At 41.5% G+C, this 20,937-nt stretch overlaps 2 protein-coding genes and 1 pseudogene across 54 annotated transcripts in view, besides 5 other annotated features; 1 reads left to right on the top strand and 2 right to left on the bottom strand.

The window, feature by feature from the left end:
* CREM (cAMP responsive element modulator) overlaps positions 1–9,828 on the bottom strand; it is an 86,113-nt gene extending 76,285 nt beyond the window's left edge. For 39 of the 50 annotated variants that reach the window (NR_172139.1, NR_172138.1, XM_024447824.2 and 36 more), the window contains exon 1: positions 9,481–9,828. The gene's annotated coding sequence lies outside the window, so the exon portion shown is untranslated. Of the gene's footprint in view, positions 1–9,106; positions 9,448–9,480 lie in introns of those variants that run through there. The other 11 variants (NM_183013.3, NM_001267562.2, NM_001352467.2 and 8 more) reach the window with 2 other exon arrangements.
* Positions 77–126: an enhancer, noted in NCBI's record as "active region_3260". NCBI's record gives its function as "activates an Ori minimal core promoter by ATAC-STARR-seq in GM12878 lymphoblastoid cells {active_cell/tissue: GM12878}" and the evidence as "EXISTENCE:reporter gene assay evidence [ECO:0000049][PMID:35858748]".
* RNU7-77P (RNA, U7 small nuclear 77 pseudogene) lies at positions 1,174–1,230 on the bottom strand (annotated as a pseudogene).
* Positions 2,799–2,868: a silencer, noted in NCBI's record as "silent region_2301". NCBI's record gives its function as "represses an Ori minimal core promoter by ATAC-STARR-seq in GM12878 lymphoblastoid cells {active_cell/tissue: GM12878}" and the evidence as "EXISTENCE:reporter gene assay evidence [ECO:0000049][PMID:35858748]".
* Positions 8,791–8,860: an enhancer, noted in NCBI's record as "active region_3259". NCBI's record gives its function as "activates an Ori minimal core promoter by ATAC-STARR-seq in GM12878 lymphoblastoid cells {active_cell/tissue: GM12878}" and the evidence as "EXISTENCE:reporter gene assay evidence [ECO:0000049][PMID:35858748]".
* Positions 9,221–9,360: a silencer, noted in NCBI's record as "silent region_2300". NCBI's record gives its function as "represses an Ori minimal core promoter by ATAC-STARR-seq in GM12878 lymphoblastoid cells {active_cell/tissue: GM12878}" and the evidence as "EXISTENCE:reporter gene assay evidence [ECO:0000049][PMID:35858748]".
* Positions 9,421–9,940: a silencer, noted in NCBI's record as "silent region_2299". NCBI's record gives its function as "represses an Ori minimal core promoter by ATAC-STARR-seq in GM12878 lymphoblastoid cells {active_cell/tissue: GM12878}" and the evidence as "EXISTENCE:reporter gene assay evidence [ECO:0000049][PMID:35858748]".
* CUL2 (cullin 2) overlaps positions 9,668–20,937 on the top strand; it is a 118,456-nt gene continuing 107,186 nt past the window's right edge. The window contains exons 1-2 of one of the 4 annotated variants that reach the window (XM_047425852.1): positions 10,008–10,069; positions 14,872–16,263. The gene's annotated coding sequence lies outside the window, so the exon portion shown is untranslated. Of the gene's footprint in view, positions 9,859–10,007; positions 10,070–14,871; positions 16,264–20,937 lie in introns of those variants that run through there. The other 3 variants (XM_011519743.1, XM_011519745.2, XM_011519744.1) reach the window with 3 other exon arrangements.

The following is a 20,937-nucleotide window of genomic DNA, read 5'->3' as shown; positions in this document are numbered from 1 at the left end:
TCCCTCCTAAGGGTTCTTCTAAATGATGTCATATAATCCTGGTCAAATTTGGAACTGTAGGCAGCAGGCAGGTTTATCAAACCTCACTAAGGGCACTAAGGCGATGGTTACTACTGCTACCATGTGCCCCCAGCATAGGGACAAGAGACAGTAGGGCATTTGAACAGGCTCCTCACAAGAGGAACAAAAAGCAGAACTGATGCCATTCTGACATCAAACCTCATTGTATGCTACACTAGCATTTTACGTAGGGACATCTTATGCTCCTTAACAACTGTATAACCCATTAGATGCCACCCCCTCATACTAGACACTGGGGCACTGCAGGAGACAGCTCTCCAGGAGCCTGCAATCTAAAGGCGGGGGCAGATATGTCAACAAAATAATAATAGCACTTGAACAATAATGATAATCACAGCACTATATCATAGAAAAAAGGCCAATTTCTGTATTTCACTTGGAAATGTTTTATTTGCTGAATAAGTAATACATTCTTGTGGTTCAAAACTTTAAAACTAGAAAAAGGTATTCAGAGAAGTCCAGGAACAGCCGCCCGCTTCCTCTTCCTAGAGGTAACTAGCACTGAAGAAAGCACCAACTTCCGGCCATGGGAGCCACAAGATACCAAAGAGAAAAACTAGCCTCATACCCGAATAATGACAAGATAAACTTGACCCTGACTCAGGATGATCAGAGACTTACTTCATTCCAACTATTCTCCACAAGGTCACCAATGAACGCTTGCCTGCTTGCCAAATCTAAAAGGATGCTTTCTAGTCCCCATCTTCCTCAATACCCCTACAGCATTTCCCCCTCTATTTGAAACTTTGTCCTCTTTGAATTCTTTATGACATTACTTTCATGCTTTTCTTCCAAATTATCTAGCCTTTTGTTCTATCTTCTTTGTCTCATTTTTTTTTAATGTCTCTCTTTTTTTTTTTTTTTTTTTTTTCCAGAAATAGGTATCACTATGTTGCCCAGGTCTCAAATTCCTAGCTTCAAGCAATCCTCCCACCATAGCCTCCCAAAGTGTTGGGATTACAGGCATGAGCCACTGTACTCAGCTCTCCAGTTATAATTTCTAAGCAGATCTCCTTATACCTAAACACCCAAAGGATACTGATATATCCTGTATACTACCAATCTACCAACTTTCTTTTTTCGGGGGGTGGTGGGCATTCTGGCAAAAACCGGAGAGCCTGCTAGACAAATTCTAAGAGCTGTAACACTTATATACTACCGATTTTCTACAGGAATAATTTTCTACAGGAATAAATTAAAACACATAATAAATTAAAACACTTATATACTACCAATTTTCTACAGGAATAATTTAAAAGTCCCATCTGCCAAGGGACTCTTAAGCTTTAGCTTTTAGAGCAGAAAGGCATATTTTAGATTAGTTTGTTATAGGCAAGTAATAACTTATAAGAAGAAATGAGACCCAAAATTATTTTGCCTGGTTATGGATTTCTCTGCCATATTTTGAAGGCCATCTAACACACTGATAAAAACTTTATTAGGTATGATTACAAAAACAACAGTTGGCATTCACCTTACTTTCACCAGTATGTTGCTCCATTCACCCTGTGGTGCAACAGCTTCAATTAATTTTTCTTTCCTTTTTTTTTTTTTTGAGACTGAGTCTTGCTCTGTCGCCCAGGCTGGAGTGCAGTGGCACCATCTCAGCTCACTGCAAAATCCACGTCCCAGGTTCAAGCAGTTCTCATGCCTCAGCCTCCTGAGTAGCTGGGATTACAGGCGCATGCCACCATGCTCGGCTAATTTTTGTATTTTTAGTAGAGATGGTGTTTCACCATTTTGGCCAGGCTGGTCTCGAACCCCTGACTTCAAGTGATCCGCCTGCCTCGGCCTCCCAAAGTGCTGGGATTACAGGCTTGAGCCATCATGCCAGGCTCAATTTCACTGCTGTCGGTATCCTTCAATATATAGCTTTCTATACAAATGATATTTAAAATATGTTGATTATGCTATAAAGGACATTTTGGGAACAAATGGTGAAATCTGAATATGGGATTATATATTACAGAGAGGGTAATAAAGCAAATGTTGGAAAATGCTCATATAATATAAGCAAACAAATACAATATGCTGATAGAGAAAAGATAGTATTAAATTAACACTTAAAAATGTTGAGGCCAGGCGCTGTGGCTCACCCCTGTAATCCCAGCACTCTGGAAGGCTGAGGCGGGCAGATCGCCTGAGGTCAAGAGTTCAAGACCAGTCTGGCCAACATGGCGAAACCCTGTCTCTACTAAAAATACAAAAAGTAGCCAGGCGTGGTGGCATGCGCCTGTAATCCCAGCTCCTTGGGAGGGTGAGGCAGGAGAACTGCTTGAACCCAAGAGGCAGAGGTTGCAGTGAGCCAAGATCGCGCCCCTGCACTCCAGCCTGGGCAACAGAGCGAGACTCTCATTTAAAAAAGAAAAAATTACAAAAATGAGCCAGCATGGTGATGTGCACCTATAATCCCAGCTACTCTGGAGGCTGAGGCAAGAGAATCACTTGAACTCAGGAGGCGGAAATTGCAGTGAGCCGAGATAGCACCATTGCACTCCAGCCAGGGCAACAGAGCTGTCTTGAAAAAAAAAAAAAAACAAAAAACTTTTACCTGCTGTGGTTAAATTAATACCTTAATGTAACTTTTCTGGAAAAACTAGGTATATATAAGAATTAAACTTCTTGGGCAAGTTTACTAGAATACCAAAGTTTACTTAACCAATTTCCAGCTCTCCATATTAACAGTGTTCTCCACTCCTGTGAAGCCTACAGTATAGCTAATGCCCACCACAGTTCTCTAGTGTGCCCAGGCACTTATGTTCACTCCAACAGGGAGGGGTGCTTACCAAGAGTTAGTTGTGTTTGTCACCAAACCTGATTGTGCCAGCCACACTTGTTGCAATTTTGTAATTTTGTTAAACTGTACATTAGATGAAATGACTAAGTAGATTAAATGATTCAAAAAGAGAACTGTTTCTCTGAAGACTAAGTTGAATGCTTTGGAAAGACAATAAACACAGTTTTGCTTTTTCTGCTTTAAAACAAACTGCTTTTGGACAGGCGCCATGGCTCACGCCTGTAATCCCAGCATTTTCGGAGGCCAAGTTGAGTGGATTACATGAGGTCAGGAGTTCGAGACCAGCCTGGCCAACATGGTAAAACCCTATCTCTGCAAAAAATACAGAAATTAGCCAGGCACGGTGGCAGGCACCTGTAATCCCAGCTACTTGGGAGGCTGAGGCAGGAGAATCTGGGAGGCGAAGGCTGCAGTGAGCCGAGATTGCTCCATTGCACTCCAACCTGGGTGACACAGTGAGACTCTGTCTCAAAAAAAAAAAAAAAAATCTGCTTTTGGACTAGATATTACAATTGGAGATAACTATGACTTACGGGAAATATTAAATTAAGAATTCTTTATAAGACACTTGCCAAACAATCTAAGTTCTTACTCCACTTTCAAAAACCCAAAAATGTAAACTGTAAATTATGCATTATTGAGATGGTTTCTAAAAGAAAGGCTAAAAAAGAAAAAGAATAAGAAAACCTGAAAGCACTGCAACTAGCATACTCAAAAGAAAAAGAAAAGAATGTGGAACAAAAGGTATCATACCTTTTACAGAAGCAGGAAGAGAAAGAGAACAGAGAAATACAATCTGTTTATTTGGTTCTGTGATGAAGCAAGGTTTTAGTTCTTTGCAAAAGTAGATATCCATAGGTTAACTGTAATTTAAGTAGCAAGAGCAATAAAGTTTGAAAGATAAAGGAGAATATGAAGCTCATATTGTAAAGTTGGTCCTTCTCAACCAAGTCGATTAAAAAATTAAGAGAAGGTGGGACTAGTTATAAGAGAAATAATTCCAAACAGCCATATAGCTGCAATTGACGGGGATGAGACTATGGTTATGCATTTTAGGGGAAGATGAGTACAGGAAAAACAATGGGAGAAAGCAGTACCATGAAATTACACCATTGGTCTTATACTCTTTATGAAGCAAAGTAACAGTAACTTTCAAAAAATAATCTTTACGCTTTCATGTAAAAACAGAATAGCCAAGAGGGATACTCGTAAATAAATATTCCAAACACTTGTAAATGTCTTTAATATTTCAAACATGAATTATACATAAATTCACGAGGCTCTCTAATATAGATTCACGGCTACTCCAATTTAATTGCCTGAGACACCTGTTATTATTTAAGTAATCTTAACTCTTTACTAAAATCACTAAAGGACTAGCTATTCAGTAAGTGTCTCTTTTTCAATTCATTTCCCACATGCTGCCTGCTTTTGGCCATTTCACAGTAAATGAACTACAGAATGGGCTGCTGAGGAGGAAATGAAAAGTGAAATTCAAATAATCATGGCCTGTCTCCATCCTTTCAAACACCTCCCTCCCCCGCCACCACCACTTCATGTGAAACCAATTTTTTTTTCTTTTTTTTTTTTTTTTGAGACTCAAGTCTCGCTCTATCACCCAGGATGGAGTGCAGTAGCACGATCTCGGCTCACTGCAACCTCCAACTCCCGGGTTCAAGCGATTCTCCTGCCTCAGTCTCCTGAGTAGCTGGGATTACACGCGCGAGCCACCATGCCCAGCTAATTTTTGTATTTTTAGTAGAGACGGGGTTTCACCATGTTTGGTCAGGCTGGTCTCCTGATTTGCCCGCCTCGGCCTCCCAAAGCACTGGGATTACAGGCGTGAGCCACCGCACCCGGCCAATGTGAAACCAAATTTTTAAACTTTTGAAGGAGTTACTTGCTTGACTAGAATCACTGTAAGGTTGTTTTGTTTTGTTTTCAATAGCATGCTTCTTTACTGCACATTAAGTACATCTGAAAACACATATCTACGTATTAAGTATAAATGTATTAACTACTAGATAGTAAATCTGACAAAGGAGATAAACTACCTGAATTAGCTTAAGATCAGAAAAAAGAATTTTACCATTATTTTACTTACCTAGATTGGTCCTATCTTACACATCTGAACAAAACCTGTATCTTTCTAAGTGCAGAAACATGCCTAATTTTACTCCTCCAGAAATTTTAAGAGTAAAAACATTCCAAGCACCCATATTCAGTAATGTGGGTCTTTATGTGTGATACAGTTGTCATAATTCCAAAGTGGATACTTTCACCATAATCAGTGCTAAGATATAAATTCCAGTTAAAAACATTTCTAAGCCAAAAAAAAATCATTTTTTGTGCTATCAATAAAAAAATTGAGATTAAGAATATAAACAAAACTATCTGCTATTTTGCTATTCTAAGTTGGATGATTTAAGTCTGCTATGTTTAAAAAAACACACAAAAAAAAACCTTTACTAAGATAACTTTAAAGACACTGAGTTTATTTTGTGAAATTCTCAGGGAAAATATTAGCATCACATTAGCTCCACTCTTAAACGTTCACAGGATTTTATTAGTATCTTGATATTTAAATGGCCTGGTTATACTACTGTTTAGAAAACATGCACAAAGATGTTTCTCATTTGTGGAGATCTGAGAGGCTTCAAAAAAGTCTGACAAGAGGATGAGTTGCTAGTAAGGTTTTCTTAGAGGTAAGCATCCTTCCTGACCAACGAGATGGTTATTTAAGCAGTCTTTAAGCAAAACTACCATATAGTTTTATAGCCTATGCATTTCCTCTACTTATAAAAACTACTTCACACACACGTTGCCAGTAATTTCCTCTATCACTCCTAGGAAGGCCTGTCATGAAATGTGCAAATAGATATCATTTTACTTTGTAAACCTTGCTATAACTGAATTAGTTATGCTTCACTTAATAATGGGGATACATTCTTAGAAATATTAGGCAACTTCATTCTGCGAACATTGTAAACTGCTCTTAAACAAACCTAGATGGCACAACCGACTACACACCTATGCCAAATGGGATAGCCTGTTGCTCCTAGGCTACAAAACCTGTACAGCATGTTACTGTACTATATACTGCAGACGATTAGAACACAGTGGAATGTATTTGTGTGTCTAAACATACCTAAACATAGAAAAGGTAATACTCTGCCCTCTGACATTAGGACAGCTAGGACATAACTAGGTAACAGGAATTCTTCAGCTCCATTATAATCTTATGGGATATATGTGGTCCATCATTGAACAAAACATCATTATTCAGTGCAGTAAGACTTAAGGCATTTCCATAAGTAGTATCAAGAAAAATTTCCACTAATGATATCCTTAGGTTTTCTTCTTTGTTCTTGCTTATTCTCTACTGGATATACAGTATCAGAAAATGAAAACCTATGAGTAAAAGCATTTATTCTTAAGAACAGCACAGTCTTTATTGTGGAGTTCCCATTGCAAAAGACATTTAAAATGTATTGTCTAAAAGGAGATTATTAACATAATTATTTAAAATGTTCATTTCTACCTATTGTGTAATGAGATACATTTTTCCAAAAAAAATTTTTTTTTTTTTTTTTTTTTTTGAGACTGAGTTTGGCTCTTGTTGCCCAGGCTGGAATGCAATGGCTTGATCTTGGCTCACTGCACCCTCCGCCTCCGGGGTTCAAGCAATTCTCCAGTCTCAGCCTCCCAAGTAGCCACAATTACAGGCATGGGCCACCATGCCCGGCTAATTTTGTATTTTTAGTAGAGACGGGGTTTCTTCATGTTGGTTAGGCTGGTCTTGAACTCCTGACCTCAGGCGATCCGCCTGCCTCAGCCTCCCAAAATGCTGGGATTACAGGCGTGAGCCACCATGCCCGGCCTAAACTGGATTTTTAAGTTCCTGTGTTGATAATATCAAAACTGTATTCAATGTACAATAATAACTATTTTCAAAGCTGACTTTTACATATGGAATCCATCCATTTACTTAAGTAGAAACAATAAAATTCGGTATTTCAGGCTTATTTCCTTATCAATCAATGTTGGTAAGGAAATATAAAAATATCAATGGTTGTAAAACTGCTCTAAAAAATAACGTCTCTCAATCGTTCAGCTATTAAGTGTTTGCACTGTTCAGTTTTATTTTAAGAAGTCTATCTAAAAGGAACAGGACATTTGAGAGCTTTTCAGTAAGAACATCCACTTAAACAATAAACCTAGCTCAATCTTCTGGCCCAATACTTAATTTGCAGGGAATACAACTTGGGAGAAAAAGGATCAGAAATATATGTCTATGTTGGTAAAGATTCAGTCAGGATTCCTTATATATGTTAATAATTCAAAACTCTTCCCTACTTTTCATGAAATGGTCATAACCCTAAGCAAGATTTTGTATTTTGATTAGGCAGTGACTCACCTGAGTAGGAAACTGGAATACAGCCTATTAACTATGGATTCCAGAGTTTAAAATTCAGGAAGAAGAAGTAAATTTCATTAACTTTCAGGGACAATGCAAAAACAAAAAGACTAAAAATAAAAATGTCCTATGTTTACGCATTCAATAAAAATTTATTCATATACTGTCACCAAAATATGTACACAAAACATCACCGTAATTACAACTTCGCAATCACCAAAATGATTCCATATCCATCACCAATTCACTGGGAAAGTAAGTGTTATATTCATCTATTTACAGATTCGCCAAAGTTGTGTGAATACTGACAATGCTTTAAGTGTTTACTCATTCAGGATCAAAACCATTTTAATATATTTGTTAAAGCTGTGTTGGGATCAATACATAGTTCTTTAAACATCAGTTTTAATACTTAGCATTTATTGGCCAAAACATATTGTGTGCAATTTGCCTTCCTTTGGGAAAAAAATTACTTTAGATTGAAAGACTTTAAGACTACTATGACTTAGGAAGGGAAAGTTTATCCAAAAAAAGAATCAAGACTAGGAAAAAAAGGCCGGGAGCGGTGGCTCATGCCTGTAATCCCAGCACTTTGGGAGGCCGACGCGGGCGGATCACGAGGTCAGGAGATCGAGACCATCCTGGCTAACACTGTGAAACCCCGTTTCTACTAAAAATACAAAAAATTAGCCAGGCGTGGTGGCGGGCGCCTGTAGTCCCAGCTACTCAGGAGGCTGAGGCAGGAGAATGGCGTGAACCCAGGAGGCGGAGCTTGCAGTGAGCTGAGAGCGGACCACTGCACTCCAGCCTGGGCGACAGAGCGAGACCCCGTCTCAAAAAAAAAAAAAAAAAGACTAGGAAAAAAACGTGGCGCTCAAAGCAAAAAACAAAAAAACAACAAATAAAAAACAGCGTGGTTTATTCATGTAATCTGATGCAATGTTCACAGCGGACCTCTCACTGTTCAATCTAGATCTTTGTTTCAAGGGAAAGGTACACCCTCATCTGCCCGGCAAATTAAGTAGAAAGGAAACTGAGTCACGTACGTAAGCCACAGTGTTAAAGGAGCTCTTTCAATTTCAGTGACACTTTGAGACTGGCCCTGTAAGTCCCAATTTCTTAAAATGTGATTACAAACTCACCGCTGCTTCACTGAGCAGCATGCAGGAAACCCCTAAGTGATTTCAAACTCAGGTATCTGATATACAAATAAAACGCAACAGGATCAAGAAACATGCTGAGGCCAGGCGCGGCGGCTCACGCCTGTAATCCCAGCACTTTGGGAGGCCGAGGTGGGTGGAAGGTCAGGAGTTCGAGACCAGCCTGACCAACATGGTAAAACCCCATCTCTACTAAAAATACAAAAATTAGCAGGCGTGGTGGCGCATGCCTGTAATCCCAGCTACTCGGGAGGCTGAGGCAAGAGAATCGCTTGAACCCAGGAGGCAGAGGCTGCAGTGAGCCGAGATCATGCCCCTGCATTCCAGCCTGGGTAACAGCAAGACTCCGTCTCAAAAAAAAAAAGTATGTTTAATAATGTGTTTATTCCCCAGATTCAACAGGCTCTGGAAACCTTACCAGATGGCCCTAAAAAGGCAAGACTCAGGCAGAAGGGAAAATGCGCCTTCCGAGAGCGGTCGCGGCTCTGCCCTTCCCACTCCGGAGACTGCCCGCGCCCGGGACCGAATGACTCAGCTGCGAGGCCCTCCGGCCCAGGTTTTGGGGGAAAACGGGCTGCGTCCGCTTTCGTCTAAACTGCGCTCGTAAAGTGGGGCAGAGGCGCTGGGGGCACTCAAATCCGAGGTCCTTACTTCTGGATTCCTTTTCCTTTTCCGAGTTAAACCGCTCCCCTGAGCCGCACGGCTCTCTCAGGGAGGATTTTCCAACTCGTCCCAAGTTCGCGAGGAGGCAGGCGGGTCCCGGGGCAGCTGAGCGCACGAAGCGGGCGTGGGGCGGCGAGCCGGCGGCCTCGGGGGCGCCGAGCGAGGGGCCGCGTCAGGTGAACTCGCGGCTGCCCCGCCAGTCCTTGGCCCGGCCCCGGGGTCCCGGCCCGCCGCCCACGGCTCCGCTCGGCCTCTGCTGCTCCACCGCACCCGGCTCCGCTCCGCCTCCTGCCTCCACCTCCACCTCCTGCGCCGCGTCGCCCGCTGCTGGGTCTCGGGGCCGGAGCCGACGCACCACTTACCCGCCGCAAAGGGATTTACGTAGCGGACCTCGTCACTGATTACGGACGCGAGGAGGTGGAGACGGCGAGCCCGACCGCCGCTCAGCAGCGGCGCCGCCGCCCAGCAACCCGGAGCCGGCAGCGGCCCCACGTAGTCCTCACGTCAGCTGTGATGCGGTAGCCGCGGCCTCCCTGCCGACCCCGGACCAAAAGTAGCGCTGCAGCCGACCGAACCGCGTCCTCCCGCCCCGTCCTCCCCTCCCCCACGCCGGGACGGCCTCCCGGGGGAGGCCCCGAGGAAAAAAATCCAGGCTCGAACTCCGCCCCCTGCCGGCCGCCAGCAGGAGTGAAGCGCCACAATCCAACAATGAAATGGAACCGGGGAGGGGCGGCGGGAAGGTGCGGGTCAGGGGGCGGGGCCTAGGGATAGGGAGAAGGAAGGTCAGGGGGCGGGGCCAAGAGGAGGAACTAGCCTGGAGGTGGGGCGGAAGGTAGGGGCGGGGGCAAGGCTGGAAACCGGAAGCTGCCCGTGCCGCGCCGCGCGTGCGCCAGAAATCCAATGACTTGTCAGCCAGAGTAACGGCTGTTGTCAGGTCTTCAGGGTCTCGAGGTCGGTTTCTTCCTAACGCCGCCAACCCCAAGCTAAGGTCCGCGAGCGTCTCACCTCTGTCCAGGCTGGGCTGCAGTGGCGTGGTCTCGGCTCTCTGCAACCTCTATCTCCCCAGGCTCAAGCGATCCTCCGGCCTCAGCCTCCTGAGTAGCTGGGACTGCAGGCGTGCTTCTTCTGACTTCTAAAAGCTATCTACATACCTTGACTAGTGGCCCTTTTCCTCCATATTCACAGCCAGTCACAGCTGGTTGAGTCCTTCTCCAAAAGAAGCTTGAGCTCCTGAGACAATTCACCTGCTTCTTAGGGTCATTTATTGCAGTTTATCCCAGTATTTGACTGGAAATGGTCCGCATGCTGGGCCCGCTGGCTCGGGCCTGTAATCCCAACACTTCGGGAGGCCAAGGTGGGAGGATCGCTTGAGCCCAGGAGACCAGCCTAGGGAACACAGTGAGACTTCATCTCTTTTTTTTTTTTTAGATTAGAAAGGTCGGCCGGGGGCTCACGCCTGTAATCCCAGCATTTTGGGAGGCAGACATGGGCAGATCACCTGAGGTCAGGAGCAGCCTGGCCAACATGGTGAAACCCCATCTCTACTAAAAATACAAAAATTAGCTAGGAGTGGTGGCAGACGCCTGTAGTCCCAGCTAGTTGGGAGGCTGAGGCAGGAGAATCGCTTGAACCTGGGAGGTCAAGGCTGCAGTGAGCTGAGATCGTTCCACTGCACTCCAGTCTGGGTGACAGAGCGAGGCTCCATCTCAAAAATAAAAAAAGTAATGGGATATCAGGAATAAAGAATAGCAGCATGGTTATAGAGTACAGTAGGTCCTCACTTAACGATAGGTTCTTAGAAATCATGGCTTTAAGCCAAACAACTTACAGCAGGTCCACAAAAAAATTTTCATTCAGTGTTGTTTTCATTTCGTTATAATATTGATGATAACAAAAATCGGTTTCATTGTACGTTGTTTCACTGAAAACCAGTTTCTAAGAAGCTATTGACAATGTTAAGTGAGGATTTATTATTTCATATCAGTTACTGTAGTGTCAGAGTGTTTTCATAATTTTCACTGAGCAGGACTTAATCTAAATCCAATCTGAACCTTTGTTCAAATCTAATTTTCGTAGGTCAAAGGGAATGTATCCACAACAATTGTCTCTGTAACAGGAGTTCATATGAATCAAAAAGAATCAAAGGAATGGCAATTTCTTATTTGCAAAGTATTTGCTCTACGGTTTCCTTTCTTGCCAGTATTTTACTCCCATATGTATGTAGTCTTAATTATAAAGTTCAGAAAGCACAAACCATATTTTTTTGTTCATCTGTTTTTTTACAAAGATCAATACTGGAGGTGAGATACACATACTTACAAGCCCATCAGTTCATGGCCTCTGCTATACCCTTGCTGTAAGATGTAATAGACTTAAAAACCATGCAGTTGGATCTGGGTTTAAATGTATGCTTGTTAGCTGTGGGCAAGTGTCATATCCTCTTAGGGGAAGCATAAGGTTTTTAAATGGGAAGAAAAATAGTACCTACCTGTTAGGATTATTGTAGATTTTAAAAAATATCTGCCATAAGATAAATACTTAAAAACCTACTCATGTTTACGTTAGTCCAGTGTCTAGCTTTTGGGGCTCCTCACCTAGGTGATAGTTAATTCTCTGTTGGGGAGGGACAACTAGGTCACCTACTTTTCTGAGAAAATACGGGCTGTCAGTCACACCCTTATATTCCCTCCTCACTTCAAAATATCTTAAACTTTCCCTCCCTTTCTGGGTCGGGAGGAGCACCTCTTTTTCCTCTCCGAATCCAACTGTAAGTTAGATGTCATTTCTTTCCCATATCAGATCTTGCTCAATTACCAAGAGTCATACCTACAGCCTTTTTCGTCCTCTTGGCTCCTTTCCCTACAAATGTGTTAGTATCGTGCCTCTTGAAAACTGTTGGCACTGCTAGCCCTATAAGGAAGGCCACAGAGTTGCCAATTCCGGGTTGCACATTTACATTTCATTTTTTGCCCATTTGCTTACTGTTCCATCCCTTGCCATCCCCTCACCTTCAGATTTCTCAAGAGAAGAAGGCAAGGCAGGGGTTGTATTCACTTCTTCACCACCCATTTGTTTGTTATTTCCTGCCAAATTTTTGCCCTCTTCCGTCTCTTTTTTTTTTAATTTAATTTTTATTTTTATATGTAGACATGGAGTCTCTTGTCCAGGCTAGTCTGGAACTCCTGGGCTTAAGCAATCCTTCCACCTTAGCCTCTGAAAGTGCTGGGATTATAGGCATGAGCCATTGCACTTGTCTGTCGCCTTTCTGATGACTAAATCTGACCACTTTTTCTCATTTTTCATTCTACTTGACCTATTTTCCTCATCAGATACTACCAATGACTACTGCCTTATTTTTTAAATGTATTTACTTAGAGGCAGAGTCTCGCTCTGTCACCCAGGTTAGAGTACAGTGGTGCAATCATAGCTCATTCAGCTTCAAGTACCTAGTCTAAAGCGATCCTCCCACCTCGGCTTCCCAAAGTGTTGGGATTACAGGCATAAGCCTGCCACTTTCTTAACATAGTCTCCCTCCTGAATTTTCATGATACTTGGCTCTCATGGTTTCACTCATCTTTGTCTCCCTAATGTAGACAGTTACTAATTTTCTGTCCTTGGACATCATCTTCTATACTGTCCTCAAACAGTATTTTCTTTAGTTATCTAATCATACCCAATTTTTTTGAAAGATAATTCTAAAATTTATACCCAAAGCTTCCAACTTCATTCATTAGCACCAGGTCACATTTCCAAACACCTGACAGTTCTCACTTACATGGCCCATGAGCATTTCCAACTCATAGGTTCAAAACTACATGTCTTGTCTTCTTCCCCTTTCATACCTGAATCTTGATTTTTTATTGTTGTTTTAGCAATGTTAATGGCACTTTTCAGCTCCTTGTCATCCTGCCTCTACACCTTGAAACGATTTTGGTCATTCTTCTACTCATGTCATTCAGGAGCCACATAGAAAATATTTTGAAGTGCCTGCTATGTTCCAGGCCCTATGCTAAATGCTAAGTCCTGTTGCTTTTGCCTGTAGAAACTTGCATCCATCCCTTTTTTTTTTATTCCCACTATTACCCATCTGGTACTTCCATTATAGTTCATCCTAAGTATTTCTGTCTGATTCATTTTCCTTAGATACAGCTCTGGTGATGTGATTTCTCTTAGAAAATCTACAGTGACTAGGAGGGACTGAAACTTAAGGAACAGAAGTGAAAGGAGACTGTGAATTATCTTTGGTGGCCTCTTGAATTGTGTACTGCAAGAATGCTTTATATATTTTAAAAATAAATGACATTTTAATTGAAGCAGAAACACCAGTGAGATGTTATTAGCTGACAGAGTGTAACTAAGTTTGGCATGAAGTCCTTTGTTTTGTTTTGTTTTGTTTTTTGTTATGTTTTGCTTGTTTGTAGATCGGATCTCACTCTGTCACCCTGGCTGGAGTGCAGTGGTGCCGTCACAGCTCACTGCAGTCTTGACCTCCCAGGCTCAAGCAATCCTCCCACCTCAGCCTCCTGAGTAGCTAGGACTACAGGTGTGCACCACCATGCCTGGCTAATTTTTTTAATTTTTTTATATAGATGGGTTCTCTAAAATGGGGATATTGGCCAGGCACAGTGGCCCACGCCTATAATTCTAGCACATTGGGAGGCTGAGGTGAGCAGATCACTTGAGGTGAGGAGTTTGAGAACAAACAGCCTGGCTAATATGGCAAAACCCCATCTCTACTAAAAATACAAAAATAAGCTGGGCATGGTGGCGCATGCCTGTAATCCCAGCTACTTAAGAGCCCGAGGCATGAGAACCACTTGAACCCAGGGGGTGGAGGTTGCAGTGAGCCAAGATTGTGCCACTGCACTCCAGCCTGGGCCATGGAGCAAGACTCTAGCTCAAAAAAATAAATAAATAAAATAAAATAAAATAAGGATATTATTACTACCTGCCTCACAAGTTACATGAATTAAATTAATACATGTAAAGTATATAGAACATTGTGCCTGGCACAAAATAAGCATTAAATAAATGTAAACTATAATTATTATTTTATGACTTGGCCAAGTTTGTTTGTTGACTTGTGTGAAATCTGAGAACTTAGAAGTCAAAATAAACCCCTTTGTTTTATAAATTAGAAAGTAGAGGCTGAGAGGTTTCAAAACGTCCTTTGGCTAGTAGATAGTAATATTAGGACTATAACCCTGAAGTTGTAACTTTTAACCCTGTACTCTTTCTACTAGACCACAGATCTCAAGATTTAGCATTTTTCAAATGACTATCCTATTTTATTTTACTAATTTAATACAGAGAAAAACTAGAAAATTGATTCACCTTAAAAGCATTTCTATGCAGGCCGTTTCTATTCAAACTTTAGGATTTGAGACTTACAAAGATAGTGTGCCCAATTTAAATATATGAGAAAGGTAAAAACAAGTAAGTATAATATGTGCTTGATTTATGATGTCTTTGATTTGCCATTTGGCAAAAAATGTTTCATTCTATTAGAGAGTTAACAGTTCTGTGTTCCAACATGGGAAATACCATTGTGTATGTGTGTTTACGTGCTTTTGGTTTTTGAGTTTGGTAAACTTAAACCTCTAAATCTGATGTGCTGTGTACTCAGGAAACTACTTAAAACTATCACTAAAGGATATTATAATAAAAACCCAAGCTCCTGAATTATTTAAAACTATAAGATTGCAGTCGTTAAACTAAACTAATTTTTATTTTTTTTTTTTTTTTTGAGACAGGGTCTTACTCTGTCACCTAGGCTGGAGTACAGTAGTGCGATCATGGTTCACTGTAGCCTCGACCTCCCGGGCTCAAGCAATCCTCCCACCTCAGCTGGCTAAGTAGCTGGAACTACAGACATGTGCCACCATGCCTCATTAAGGGAGAAGAAAGGCATGAGGAAAAGAGGAAGATTGTTATTGTCAATATATTTCATATTGGAAAAGGGCTCCATGCCACATTTTTGTTCTGTGGCCTTAGCGCCTCTCTCAGCCTAGTTTTCTTTAGCTGTAGAACAGGGATCCTAGTACTGCATAAAGTGTTTGTGAAGAAGAATACATTAGCTAATAACATAAAGGTTTTAATACAGTGCATATCATACAGCCTGGCCAACATGGCGAAACCCCATCTCTACTAAAAATACAAAAAATCAGCTGGGCGTGATGGTGTGCCTATAGTTGCTGCTACTTGGGAGGCTGAGGCAGGAGAATCAATTGAGCCTGTGAGGCGGGGGTTGCAGTGAGCTGAGATCGCGCCACAGCACTCCAGCCTGGGCGACAGAGTGAGTGAGACTCCATCCCAAAAAAATAAATAAATAAAGCCTATCTTCCGGCCAGAATATAAACTCCATGGATGGCATTTGTCTCAGTTAACACTCTTTCTCTAATAGCTCCTGAATTGCCTGCTAGAATCGCCTATAGGAAGACATGACATTATGGGGAATGCGTTAAGTAGCTCCCAACATGGTCATGTGCTCACACTAGGACTAAGATACTGTTATTAAATAAATCATGGAAAAATGAACTTAGAAAGGGATATGAAGGATTAGCCAGTAAGTCTCTATAAAACATAAGGGAATTATATCCATATTACCTTGTATATAAAATGCCTTATTTTTCAGCATTCTTTTTTTTGTTGTTTTTTTGAGACAGGATCTCTTACTCTATGGCCCAGGCTGGATTGCAGTGGCATGATCTTGGCTCGCTGCAGTCTCAACCTCCTGGGCTCAAGCAGTCCTCCCACTACAGCCTCCCGAGTAGCTGGGACTACGGGTGTGCATCACCATGCCAGGCTAATTTTTGTATTTTTCGTAGAGGGGGTTTCCACCATGTCACCCAGGCTGGTCTCGAACTCCTGAGCTCAAGCAATCTGCCTGCCTTGGCCTCTCAAATTGCTGAGATTTCACACGCATGAGCCCAGCCATTTTTCAGCACATTCTTTAGGCAATTTCCTTTCAGCATTTTAGAGTAGTAAGTACTCTAAGTAGAATTTACCAAGTTCTTGGTCTTCATAAATTGACAACCTCTTATTTTGTAGGTTATAGTGCCATCATGTGGATACTTTGTTTTCTTCAAATAAAATGTAACCTTTTTATAACAGAGACTAGAAAACCCAGCCATCCCAACACCCAGGTATGACAATTTATATTTTATGTTATTTATTTATTGAGAAAGGTCTCCCTCTGTCACCCAGGCTGGAGTGCAGTGGTGCAATCTCAGTTTACTGCAACCTCCACCTCCCAGGCTCAAGCGATCCTCCAACTCAGCCTCCTTAGTAGCTGAAATCATAAGCATGAGCCACTGTGCCCAGCCTGGCATGACAATTAATTTGGTATTTGTGTCTAAGCCTTTCTGTGTACAGATTCACTCAGGGACTTCTATATCTGAGTTTTTAGTATACAAAATTTGGAAATGATCATTTAAATGATAAAATAAATCTGAATACCATAGCTTGATAATACATGCAGTCCCCATAGATGATCAGTTTTCTCTCTTTCTGGATACTAGGCTGTGCAAAGAAATTGGGGCCAAACGTTTTTTTGCCATGTTCTGAAAAGGTAAGAATAAGAAATAAATATTAATGTGTGGAGCCAAAAGAGTAACCTCAGACTGGCTTAGGAGAGCAATATAGTCTGAGGAAAAGAGTTTCAAAAAATAACCTCCCTGAGCTGGGCAAGGTGGCCTGTGCCTATAATCTCAACACAGGTTGAGGTAGGAGGCCGAAGTGGGATGACTGCTTGAAGCCAGGAGTTCGAGATCAGCCTGGGCAACATAGTGAAATCCCATCTTTACCAAAAAAAAGAAAAATGAGCCAGATGTGGTAGCATGTCTGTAGTCCCAGCTAGGCGGAAGGCTGAGGCAGGAGGATCCCTTGGGTCTAGGAGTTTGCACCACTGGACTGTAACCTGGATAACAGAGTGAGACCCTGTCTCTATAAATAAATAAATAAATAAATAAATAAATAAATAAATAAATAAATAAAATTAATTTTAAAACCTCCCTAAAAATTATAGTATACCTAGATATGAGTACCAAAATATTTGTTTTAAAATCTGGGTGTGTTGATTTTCACAGAGAGCTAAAATTAGTCCATAACCCACTTAATATTAACTGACATCCACCAGAGATAAACATGGTAAAATTATATGGCTCAAGCAACTCCACAGTGCAAATGGAGATCCACAGAAATAGAGAGTTGGACCTTTAGAATTCTTTTTCTAACTTTGTTTAGTATTTACCTCCTTTTTAAGATAAAATAACTGAACCAATGAAAACAGGTACTTTGAAGCTGAAACTGAGCCTTACCTCCTCCAAGATTGAGAATGTGGTTGAAAATGTCCCTTGAATTTCCCAGTTACACAATTATTTAACAAACTTTGAATGTTATTTGTTCGGCTGCTATGTGTAGGTGAAGAAAATGTGAGCCAGAGAGACTCCATCCAATGTTAGATAAAAGGAACACGCAAGGAGCATTGGAAAACATCAACCTTTAAGGAGTAGGTCAGAAAAAAAGAACCAGCCAAGACATTTGGAAGTGTGGTGTGTGAGTGTGGATTGGCCAGCCTGTGCCTGGGGACCCCATTGTCCCCCTATTCTTTCCCTTTACCTCTCCATCAGTAGCAGTGGCTGGAGTAGAGGAATTGTGAAATGATCTGGACATGCCTGAAATGGGAAAACAGGGAATGCTTTAACTGGATCATTATCCTGGAAGCACTTTGACATGAGATATACCTTTTTCCCAAGTCCTAAACTCTTGTGGAGCAGCACAAACCAACATTGAGGCTTTTCTCCCTTTCCCTCAGGTAGACATGATCGCCAAGGCAGCTGATTGTCCCAAGGAATAAGTATGAGCAATGAGCACAGAGGGAAAATCATGAAACATCTGAGGACCATGAGAACTGCTAAAACAATACGTAGAACTAGCTATACCAGAGAAAGTCAAGTGAATGGATCAGACAATAAGAATTGAAAATAAGCTTAATAGAGCTTCAGAGAAAGAAGGGAGAATGTTGGAAACACAAAGCACAAACAAGCATTTGTGAATTGGATGTTGACAAATATTAATGAAATAACTCAATGGATGGGTTGAATATAGCTGGACAGTTCACTCATGAACCGGAAGATTAGAGCAAGGAAGGAACTAAGAAATGGAAAGCATGAAAGGAGAGTTAAGAAATGTGGAAGGTAGAAGCATAAATATTTTTCTAATGGAAATTCCAGAAGGGGAAAAAAAGAACATGTGAAAGAATTATTGCTGAGAATTTCCCAGAATTGAAGACATACTTTAGAATGAAAAAGGCCAACTCTAACTTTGGGATTTCTAGCTTCAGAGAAATGAAAATTTAGAATGACCAAGGGGAGTGCACAGGATTTTTTGGGCAGTGAAACTATTCTGCATGATACTATAATGGTGGATGCATGCTATTACACATTTGTCAAAACCCATTGAATGTACATCACTGAGAATGAAGCCTAATGTATGCACTTTGGATGATTATGATGTGTCAATGTAGGTTCATCAGTTCTAACAAGTAGAACATGCTGGTGCAGGATGTTGATAGGGAGGCTGTGCATATATGGGGGAGGGGATGAAAGGAACTGTGTACTTTCTGCTCGTTTTTGCTGTGCACCTAAAATTGTTCTGAAAAAAATCAAGTCTATTAAGAAAACAAAGACAGTTTTTTAAAGCATAAGAGCATACTTGTTATAAAAATACATGTAATGCAGTGTAATTTTAGAATTCAAGGTCACATATTTCTGTAACACTTTTATTCTTTCATGCCTACAACTTTCATGGAATGGTCCAGTCAAATAGGTTCCACATAATAGGAACCTTCAGTAATACACCACTCACATGTAGCAGAAGGACTTTAAAACAGTATATTCCCAACTCTTCTATTCATTGTGCCAATGTTGCCATATATTTCACTTTTACAAATGCTGTAAACATACAATACTTGTGCTATTTTTGCTTTCGATAGTTGCCTTTTACAGCAGTTAAAAAAAAAAAAAAAGCCAGTTGCAGTGACTCACGCCTGTAATTCCAACACTTTGTGAGGCTGAGGCAGGAGAATTGCTTGAGCTCAGGAGTTCAAGACCAGACTGGGAAACATAGTGAGACCTTGTCTCTACAAAAAATAAAATGCCAGGCATGGTGGCACTCATCTATAGTCCCAATACTCGAGAGCTGAGGTGGGAGGATTGAGCCTGTGAGATAGACTAGGCTGCAGTGAGCCAAGATCATACCACTGCACTCCAGCCTGAGCAACAGAGTTGAGTGCTCTGCCAGTCCACACCAGCCTTCGTGAATTCCGCAATTCTTCTAGCTAAACATATACCAGTATCTGGTTGTGTCTGTCCCAAGTAAGCTAGTGCCCTTCTCTTCCTGCAGGCATCTGTTGCTTCTTAGATTTTGGACCAGTTTTTTGTCCTGGGAACTCAACTCTTCGATAAATTCAAAAATACTCTGTAATTTGAAGGAAGTTTACCTTTTTTTTCATTGTAAGGGTGGAAGAAATGTCTCTTCTGGATGTTTATATCCAAAACAAGCTGGAAATCAGCCCTGGCTAACTTTTTTTTTTTTTTTGAGACGGAATCTCACCCTGTCGCCCAGGCTGGAGTGCAGTGGCACAGTCTCGACTCACTGCAACCTCTACCTCCCAGGTTTAAGCGATTCTCCCACCTCAGCCTCCCGGGTAGCTGGGACTACAGGCGTGCGCCACCACGCCCAGCTATTCTTTTGTATTTTTAGTAGAGATGGGTTTTCACCAGGATGGTCTCAATCTCTTGACCTTGTGATCTGCCTGCATTGGCCTCCCAAAATGCTGGGATTACAGGCTTGAGCCACCATGCCCAGCCAGAGCATCTAATATTTACTGAGTACTGAACATTTACTAAATACTTGACATAATGTTTTTTAAATCCCCCAAAAGTCATATTCTTACATCATAAATAAGGAAAATTTCAGATTGAAAGGATTCAAAGAGGGTTAAACGAGATCACAAAAAAAAGCCACAGCTGGGTACATTACTGTGAAATTAAACATCATCAGAGAGAAACAATAGATATAGATCTTTTCAGCTTATCTATTTCTTACTAAAAAAGAGTAAGTTTTGTAGTTTATGCCTTTCAGAGAATTTCTCTATTTTGTCTCCATTGTCAAATTTATTGTCATAAAATTGTTCATAATTTTTTTTTTGAGATGGAGTCTGGCTCCGTCGCCCAGGCTGGAGTGCAGTGGCATGATCTCAGCTTGCTACACAACCTCCACCTCCCAGGTTCAAGGAATTCTTGTGCCTCAGCCTCCGGAGTAGCTGGGATTACAGGCGCCTGCCACCACACCTGGCTAATTTTTGTATTTTTAGTAGAGACAGAGTTTCACCATGTTGGCCAGCCTAGTCTCAAACTCCTGACCTCAGGTTATCTGCCCACCTCGGCCTCCCAAAGTGCTGGGATTACAGGTGTGAACCGCTGTGCCCGGCCCATAATATTTTTTTTTATCCTTTAATGTCTATCAGATCTGTAGTGATATCATCTTTCAAGCCAAATCTTGGTAATTTTTATCTTTTCTCTTTCCCTGTTTCAGTTTTTATCAATTTTATTGCTCTCTTCAAAGAATCAACATTTATTTATTATTTTATTATATTTTTTGAGACCAGGTCTCACTTTGTCATGCAGGCTGGAGTGCAGTGGCGCAATCTCGGCTCACTTCAGCCTCAGCCTCCCAGGTTCAACCCATCCTTCTGCCTCAGTCCCCCTAGTAGCTAGAACTACAAGTGTGTGCCACACCCAGCTAATTTTTGTATT

The sequence above is a fragment of the Homo sapiens genome, chromosome 10, assembly GCF_000001405.40.
Source record: "Homo sapiens chromosome 10, GRCh38.p14 Primary Assembly".
Classification (NCBI taxonomy): domain Eukaryota; kingdom Metazoa; phylum Chordata; class Mammalia; order Primates; family Hominidae; genus Homo; species Homo sapiens.
This window is presented reverse-complemented; position numbering and strand designations above follow the sequence as displayed.